The 10054-nt window shown below is 35.5% G+C and overlaps 1 annotated feature.

Annotated features, from left to right (window-relative positions):
• Window positions 7750-7829: an enhancer, noted in NCBI's record as "active region_8293". NCBI's record gives its function as "activates an Ori minimal core promoter by ATAC-STARR-seq in GM12878 lymphoblastoid cells {active_cell/tissue: GM12878}" and the evidence as "EXISTENCE:reporter gene assay evidence [ECO:0000049][PMID:35858748]".

The raw sequence follows: 10054 nt of genomic DNA, 5'->3' as shown, positions 1-10054 counted from the left end.
GGGAAAACCCTCCCAGTGATCCACTCACCTTCCACCAGGTCTCTCTCAACACCTGGGGATTACAATTCAAGATGAGATTTGGGTGGGATCACAAAGCCTAACCATATCAGCTCCCTATTGCACTTCCCATGTTTCTCTTGCTGTTTTTATCCAACTATAAAAGACAACTTGAAGCTCAAATTTTTATAAATTATTTCCATGTTTTAACATTTCCTTAAACTGGATGATACATAATAGTATTCTCTACATCTTTGGAAATATAACATTTCGTAAATTTTATTGTACATTTATTGATGCTTCTCTAGGAATATTTGAAGCTGATAATTTTTGATGTTTTTCTTTTCTAATTTAAGAAACCTGTTTTTAGTTATAAGTCTTACATTTCATTGCCTTGAGATGCTTTCAAAGATTAGTTACTGGATATCATAAGTGAACCAAGTAAAAACATGAGGAATGGGATATGCAAATAAGGCTGAAATAATGATTATGAGTTTCTTTGGAAAGATAAAGAGAAGAATGCAAATAAATCTACTTAATATAAGGAACTATATAAACATACAAGTGGATCATAGAAAAATAATATAGAACTATAAATGTCCATTCCAGTGGAATTCCATCTTACACAGGGTAAATGTTATAAAGTCAGTCCTTAATTCCTTTGTTGTATACAATTAAATACTATAGGATAAAAATTAGCTTTTCCTCCAACAATGGATAAGACAGATGTTTAGTCGGCTGGCAACAGATGGAAGTTTTGACTGGCACTTGGAGCCATTAGTATCTCAATTATGAATCTTCAAATGCTAAAATTACAATCAGGCTGCAAGATGCTCACACTATGAAAGCTCCTCTGAAACTAACACTCACCCCCCGCACCCCATCCCAGCAAAAATCCCACTATTCACCTTGGATCATAAATAACTTAAGTACAATAACAGGCAGAATTTTCTGCATTATTTAATTACTCCCCCACTTCTTCTCTTCTTCTCTCCCTCCAAGTACACACTGATCATTGTGAAATTCAGAGTATAAAAATATGCATGATTATTTCACAGTACACTGTGGTCACTTAGAATGAGGCACACAAAAGGCGTCAGTTTTCATGAGTAATTTTAGAACAAAAACTAGAGAAATTATATAAATACAAGACAGTCGTCAATGATTAGAACCGTTGGATATTTTGTTTACATTACTTTGGGATGTCCAAACATATCTACATATTTTAAATCTCAGTATTTTAATTTTTTAAATTTTTATTTTAAAACAGTATTTTAATTTTTTCTTTATTTAATATATACAGATAGTAACACTAAAATCCTCATAAGAGTACACACAGACCTGAATAATGCACACAGATCCTTCATTATACTTTAGTCAGCAGTTTTACATTTGTATAATGTATGTAATTAGGATATCAAATTTGAATATTCAAAGTTCAAGTATGATGCCCCAGCTTCTATTGAGTTCAAATATGATGCCCCAGGTGTCACTATTTTTAGAGTCAAGCTTTTAAAAGGAAAGAAGATTACATCTTATTTTATGTAATTGTAGGAATTAATGGTGAATCATAACTATAATAATTGGTAATTTTGTGTACCTAATGTTACCAGAAAAATGCTCATACCTTTCAAGGGAAAATAATTACATACTTGTGTCACAGAATGCAGGAGATATTTACTGCTTTTTGCTGTTTCATTTATGGTTCATATTGTTTGTTTCTGTGTTAAAAAAAAGTTAAAAATCTTGCTAGCATATGTGTGGGATTTTCTTCTACTACTCATGTTATTTAGTTGTCTTTCATGTGTGCATAGGGAATTCGGGGGATGGGGAGCAAAATAAAAGCATAGTATAAGAGATAAAATGAAAAATATTTTTGATCAGCATTTTCTCTTTAATTAATGAAGAAAATCCAAGTTTCTGATTAGATACTTATATCCCTGTCTCTTTATTTGATAATTAGCATTTTAGGGATTATTTTTGGAAAATAGACTTCTATTAAAATAAACTTTTCTCTGTATTTAGAGTATTAAATATCAATGTAAATGTGTTATTCATGTGTGTCTTTATGCAAAGCATGTTTCTTTTTCAATTCTGTAGTAGGTAAATTGAAGAATTTCTTTTAATATGTATTACAAGATATTTTAAGAATATAGCAATATGCTTTATGTCTACTTGGTTTCATCATTCACAGCACTTCAACATTTTATAAATGTGAATTTCTCAACCTTTGAATATAAAACTAAATTAAAGATTAAGATTAAAGTGTTTCCAAAAGATTTATTTTGCTGTATTCCTTATGTAAAATAATAGTTATTGCATATATAATTTTAAAAGCCAGAGACATTTTAATTTTATTCCAAGTGGCATAAAACTTTTTTATTTTAAAATAGGGAAGTGTGGCTGGGTGCAGTGGCTCACAGCTATAATCCTGGCACTTTGGGAGGCCGAGATGAGTGGATCACTTGAGGTCAGGAGTTTGAGACCAGCCTGGCCAACATGGTGAAACCCCATCTCTACTAAAAATACAAAAATTAGCCAGGGATGGTTGCAGGAATGTGTAATCCCAGCTACTTGGGAGGCTGAGGGAGGAGAACTGCTTGAACCAGGGAGGCAAAGGTTGCAGTGAGCCAACATTGTGTAACTGCACTCCAGCCTGGGTGACAGAGTGAGACTCTGTCTCTAAATAAATAAACATAATAAAATAAAATAGGTAAGTGCATGAAGCCATCATAAAACTATCTTAAATTTTTGTTCAAAATTTTAGGATTTCTACTTACAGTATTTGTCCCTAATGCAAACTAGAATTATATAGTTTTAAAACCCATAAAATAAGCCAGTTTTCATTAGTAGATGTTGTGGAAACATAAAACTCTTTCTCCAACCTATGCCCTCTTGTTTCTGGGTCCATAGCTAGACTAACTTTACTAGACTCCTTTGTAGTTAGCTGACTTCAGACTGACAATATGACAAAGCACTAGCCAACAAAATGTGATAACAAATGATATATATTACTTCCTGAAATGTACTGTATTAGTCTGTTGCCACACTGCTATAAAGACATACCCAAGACTGGGTAATTTATAAAAAACATTGGTTTAATTGACTCACAGTTCCGCAGGGCTGGGGAGGCCTCAGGAAACTTACAATCATGGCGGAAGAGTACGAGGCACATCTTACATGGTGGCAGGAGAGAGAGAGAGAGAAGAGAGAGAAAGAGAGTGAGAGCGCACAGACAAGTGAAGGGGGAGGAGCCTCTTATGAAACCATCAGATTTCGTGAGAGCTCACTCACTATCATGAGAACAGCATGGGGGAAACCACCCCCTTGATCCAATCACCTCCTACCAAGTCCCACCCTCAACGTGTGGGGATTCTGGGGATTACAATTTGATATGAGATTTGGATGGGGACATAGAACCGACCCATATCATGTACCACAAAAATCTCCTCCTTTACGTTCCTGGCCTTGATCTTCTTTCTGGCTGGCTTGATGCAGATGACCAGAGCAATTTCAGATACCACATTTTGAGTCTGACAGAACCACAAGCTGGAAGGAGGTTGGATCCCCGAATTGGTGTTTGGACTTTTCAAGATTAAGAAATACTTTCTCAGTGTTTTTGGCCACCATTTATCTTAGTCATCATGTATTTTTAGGTATTTTGTCATTATAACTAGCACAATCTTAAGTAATGCAATGGCCAGTGTACAGCATTTACTATTTTGAACCAGCTGTTTAACTGAGAAACTTCCTTCACAATCACTATTTCAATCACCACCCAGGTTCCATTAGAAAAGAAGAGTGATAGGTAAGAACAGATGCCCTAGAACTAGAACATCTGAATCAAAATCCACTTCCACTGCTTTCTAGAGGTTTGATATTGGATGAATGATTTACTCTGCTTGTATCTCAATTTCCTCAGCATTAAAACTAAGAGAGTAATAATATTAAAGTGGCTTATTATGAAGATTAAATGTTTCATATGTGTAAAGTGCTAAAAGTTCTGCCAAATTCATAGTAGACATGTAATAACTGTTAATTGCTATATTTCTTCTATACTTGACATCACTCAAGATCCAAATATATACATTCAATTACCTAAAGGTCATCCCCACTTAGACGTTCCATGGATAACTTAAACTCAAATTAGTGAGGTTAGGAAGGTATCAGTCAGAATTGGGCAATATTCTGGGCTCTCTTAATGTTCTCAAGGTTCTGGAATTGTACCTACAACAGAATTGTGCAGTGTTATATTTCCTCAATCTTCTGATCTTCCTTTTGTATTGACCTATTACCAGTCAGCAATAAGTATATTGTTCAATAGCCATATTGTCTTTGAATGATTGTCATCACTTTCTGTCATGTGACCTGTTGATATATTATTATTAGTTGTGGTAGAAAGTGCCTAATACCAATATATCTAGCTCAGCTGGCATTTTTTTCACTTTTTAGAATTTAGTGATGGATGTTGAAGATCATAAGATAACAAGACTTGCCAAAAAGAAAATCGTAGTGAAATCTAAAGACAAAGGTAAAGCCATTCTTTTCATTACACAATTTCACGTAATGTTTGTTAGTGAATCCAGTATTTGTTGTACAAAGTTACATTACGGAGGTTGGGCAATGTGATACTGAGAGAAGAATGGTATTATAAGACATATATCTGTACTGGTAAAAAAAAAAGTGTATTTTTCATAAAGGCTTGAGATTTAGACAAATTAGCTAATGAGATAAATACAAACTCACCAATTGTCACATTAATCTTCGGCTTTTTAAAAGTCACCCCATAATCACAATCAAATACATCTATTCGAAAAACAAAGGTAAATGGGTGTCATGATGGACGTAAAAATCTAGTGTAAGGCATCATCTCCTCACATGCCTACTTCACCTAGCTTTGGGGCCTTAATGGGCATCATCTGCATTAACCCATTTACCTGAACTATTCTTTGATAGGAGGACTCTGGAAATCTTCTACACTACACTATACCTGATAAGGAATAATCTGTTGTATTAATCTAGTAAGTAAACAATAAGGCCAGGTGCGGTGGCTCACGCCTGTAATCCCAGCACTTTGGGAGGCCAAGGCGGGTGGATCACAACGTCAGGAGATCGAGACCATCCTAGCTAACACGGTGAAACCCTGTCTCTACTAAAAATACAAAAAATTAGCGGGGCGTGGTGGCGGGCACCTGTAGTCCCAGCTACTCAGGAGGCTGAGGCAAGGAGAATGGCATGAACCCGGAGGCAGAGCTTGTAGTGAGCCAAGATCGCGCCACTGCACTCCAGCCTGGGCGACAGAGCAAGACTCCGTCTCAAATAAATAAATAAATAAATAAATAAATAAATAAACAAACAATAAGTATTTCCTAAGCAATTACTATTGGAAAAGCCATACAAGAGTAATACAAGCAAAAAAGAGTGGCCCTTTCTTGTAATATTTTCAGTCTCGTAGATGTATGAAGATAATTTACCAATAAGACTTCATGGGCCGGGCACGGTGGCTCACACCTGTAATCCCAGCACTTTGGGAGACTGAGGAGGGCAGATCACGAGGTCAGGAGTTCGAGACCAGCCTGACCAACATGGTGAAACCCCATCTCTACTAAAAATACAAAAAAAAATAATAATAAAATCAGCCGGGCATGGTGGAGGGCGCCTGTAATCTCAGCTACTCGGGAGGCTGAGGCAAGAGAATTGCTTAAACCCTCAAGGTGGAGGCTGCAGTGGCCGAGATCGCGTCACTGCACTCCAGCCTGGGCAACAGTGCAAGAGTCGGTCTCAAAAAAAAAAAAAAAAAGAATTCATGAAAAGCATTAAAATGAATAGTAAGGATAATAAATTACATATAATTTCAGAAGAGAGAGAAAGCATTTGGAGTTAAAATGTAATGTAGGTGGTTTGAGTTATGCTCATAGAATGCTTATGATTTATACAGGATAAGGGGAAAAGGAAGAATTTTCCCAGTAATAGCATGTAAATCAAGTCATGGTTAATGGATATCTAATATTTATTGCTTAGAGAAGAGATAGCTTACAAAACTGAAATTTCAAATTACAACAACGTTGTGAAGGATTTTGAATGGACAGTGAAGGAGTTTGGACTACATCCAGTGAATAATACAAAAAGTTATACAAAGTTTCTGATCAGAAATATCGTATTAGAAAAGAAGCAGTTTAAAAGACCTAATTTTGGGAAAGGTTTACAAATAGTAATTAAGAGAGACTAAGATCCTTATCTATGCTAGTCCATTACTTAAAATAGAATGAGAATCTCCATATAGTAAGGTATCACCAACAACCAAGGGCATTAAGTTGTGTGCAACTTAACCAAGAAAAAAAAATAGATACACTTAATTCAAATTACTAGCCCTCTTTTCATAACCTAACCTAAAAATAGGAACATTCTAAAAGAATAACATAAATTCTTTTTATGAGAACAAAATAAATGAAAAACAAAATGCAAAACAATAGATGGGAATTTGTTAAATTGACTGGAACCAAAAGAAGCAAAGAATGTTCCAAAGGGCATAAAATGAAAACAGAAATGAACGTACATGATAAGGCAAAGCAGTGAAGAAGAGAACAGCTATGTTTAACAATTAAGCCAAATGCAGCCTTGCCTTACTGTTCTCTTAATTCACTAAGTACAGACAAGCTTGTATATCTGGGTCTTGCTACCTGTTGTTCTATTCAGGCAGATGTGTTGTAATTCTTAGACACTCCTGCCAAGAGTCCACTCTGGACATCAAAACACCGCAGCCCTAAATGTTTCTGGTAGGCCACTGCCAAATCTTCTGCAGGATCATTATATCATCAGTAACATTAGTGTACCAAAGCTACATAACTAGCTCAGAAACTAATTGTCTAATATGGTAGTGAATAGAATCCAGAGTAATTGGCACAGGGCTCTGATAAGTTTAAAAGGAATGGAACCTCTGGTTTCTTCCTTCCTTTAACTTAACTTCTCTCCCCAGCCCTTATTAGGAAAAGGCTACAGGAGATTTCTAATTAGGAAATGACATTACTTCTGTCAAGAACTAGGGAAGATAAAGAGGAAACAATGAAGGGAGGAGAGGTCCATCATTCATTTTATATTCATTTATATTCTTATCTACTATATATCTTTTATTCTGATTGTTTCCCATGGTAAAAGCAGCCTTAAACAGAGACAACTTGTCTTTCTTGCAAAGTGCCAAAGTGGTTTTTTTTTTTTCTTTTTTGGTCAGGCCTAGCCCAGCTATATGCTCAACTCGGTCAGTATGAAAGGAAGCACAGAAAAAGCAAAGTAATCATTAAATTCTAGAATGACTTTTTACCACTAGAGTACAGGCCCTAAACTAAAGATTATCTACTAGCTGACTTTCTTGTTGCCCTTTCACCTGCCTCTCAAAGGAAATGTCTTTCCTACCAAACAGATGGCATCAGAAGCACTGAAATCTGTCATGGCATAATCTAAGAAGGTAAATGTGAACTTGAGCTAGCTTTAAAGAATTAATCAGCTTTAGAAAGAAAGAAACGATGAGAATGAATCACAGAACATTACTCAGTGAAGCATGAATATGTTAAACACAGGGTAAGGCTTAAAGATTTTCAAAGGTTAATAAGACCAGTTTCTTAAGTGGGGTGGCTGTATATTACACTAAAAGGTAAACATTATCCAGGATGTAGAAAACCTTAGAATCTGAAGATATAAATTCAGCTGCTTTATATGTAGTGTGAAAACTTCACTAAGTCCAGTGTGACTTGTGTAGATCAAAAAAGGAAAGCCTAACCATAAAACCTCTTTCCCACTGCCTACAGTACAATGAATTACACTTTTATGCTGGTAGTAGAAATCTTAATACCCTATTTAATCCTGATCTATTTTTAATCTTATTGGCTCTTTAAGAGGTTTCATATGCATGATATTTTATCACACATTTCAAAGAAGGAAATGAAGTGTTCTTAGCTCCATGTAAGAAAGGAATTAAACCTTGTGATATGAGATAAAAAAATTTATGTAACTACTATAAAAGCACCCACGTGAGGTCCCATAGCGTCTGTTGTATCTGTTTTAGCTCACACTTTGGGGGACTGATACTGCCTCACACTCCTCCATTCTATTTGTCTCTAAATTCCCAAATTAAGCAAGTTGTAATTGGGGTAATTTAGTGCTTTGTAGTGATATTGTTCTCTGGGGAATAGTAAAGACCAGTTTTAACTTCATTATTTTGTAGAGTTAGTGAATAAATTACTTGGATAAAGTCCTATTGCTATAGGTTTTTAAGCTTTTTATATTTTCTGCCTTGGTCTCTAATATATGTTATTTTATAAATGATTCTTCTGATGTGCATTGATGTGAACATTATTTTAAGGCTTAATTTTATGCCTAGCTAGTCAAATGGTTACCTGTCAATAAAAGATATTGATTTTTCCCAAAGTCAAGGACAAATGGGCATCATATATTTAACATTTATGAAAGCCACCCTCCATTTAGTGTCCACTCCTTTAGAATCTTCCTAAGGGAACCAACCCACTTAAGTGAATTGCTTAAACATGTTTCATTCAGGGCTGCTGACTTATGTCTTGCAGTTCCAAAAACCTCTTTCAATATTCCTTCCTGCAAATAACATCCCAGTCCCAGACTGAGTTTTGTGTAGACCTATACAGCATGTAATAGAAAACTCATGATTTCAAGGGACTTTCAACCTAAATGAAAAGACCAAATAGGAAAATTATGAATAAGCTAAACTTAACCTTTGAAGACGACAAGGACCTGAGATGCTGGAGAATAAAAACTTGGCAGGTCCTTGAGTAGCTGAGAGGTTCTGAGGCATAAGAGGTAAGGCTGAAAAGGCTTGTGTGACAGAAAGCTTCACAATACAGTGAATTTGGAAAGTGACGAAGTACATTAGCATATCTAGAGGACAAAAATATATAATCCTCATGTTCCCTTTTACACAATTCTATCAGCCCCTATTTATAGTTTGTAGCTTTTTAAAAAAATAAAATAATCTTGATAAGTTCTTTACAGATGCTTTTAGAACCTCAGATTTATTAGTTTTTAAGTTTTCTCTGACCATGTTTAATTTATTGGGGGGATATCAAGAAAATGTTTATATGTCCTTACAGTTTCACCTCTCCCGCCCCCAACAAATTATTTCATATTAAATTTTAAAAAAAGATCTTACCTCCAATCTGAACAGTGCATCATATCGCTCTTTCCTTTATTCTTCTAATGAATCCTTGAATCAGCTGTTAGTCATTTGATGTTTTACAAATAAGTGTTCTATCATTCGCAATTACTTAAAACACTACAAAACTGTAATTTTGAGGACACATTGTAAAATGTTGTGTATTATTTGCTATCATATTTCCAGGACTCTAAATTGGAAAGGTTGTTAGTTTATGAAAGTGTCATTCCTTTTATCACTTCTTAAGAAGGCAAAGGCCAGTCGTGGAGGCTCACGCCTGTAATCCCAGCACTTTGGGAAGCAGAGGCGGGTGGACCACGAGGTCAGGAGTTTAAGACCAGCCTGACCAATATGGTAAAACCCTGTCTCTACTAAAAATACAAAAAAAAAATAGCCGGGCATGGTGGTGCATCACTATAGTCCCAGCTACTTGGGAGGCTGAGGCAGAAGAATCACTTGAACCCAGAGGTGGAGGTTGCCGTGAGCCAAGACTGCACCACTTCACTCCAGCCTGGGTGACAGAGCAAGATTCTGTCTCAAATAAATAAATAAGAAGGCAAAAAATTTTCCAATATAAAACCACTATGTTTTGCTATGTTTTAATTTGATTGATTTCCTTTGTTTTGTTGTGGAATGAGGGAGGGATGTGTACCAAGGAAACAAGGAGATTGCTAGTTGATCTGCTCTTCTCAGGTTATAGAAATTATTTATTTCAACAAAAGAAAAATATTGTTTTTGCCTAGCATTTGACTTCAGGCTTAAAGAGTGCCATTAGTAGAGTATTAACATCTGGATCTCAAGCTTTAGGCTGTCTTCCATTATTTAAATTTTATCCTTAGGCTTTAGGTGTGTAGAAAACTTTTCTCAGATCTGTGATGTGTT

Source organism: Homo sapiens, chromosome 14 (genome assembly GCF_000001405.40).
Source record: "Homo sapiens chromosome 14, GRCh38.p14 Primary Assembly".
Taxonomy (NCBI): Eukaryota; Metazoa; Chordata; class Mammalia; order Primates; family Hominidae; genus Homo; species Homo sapiens.
This window is presented reverse-complemented; position numbering and strand designations above follow the sequence as displayed.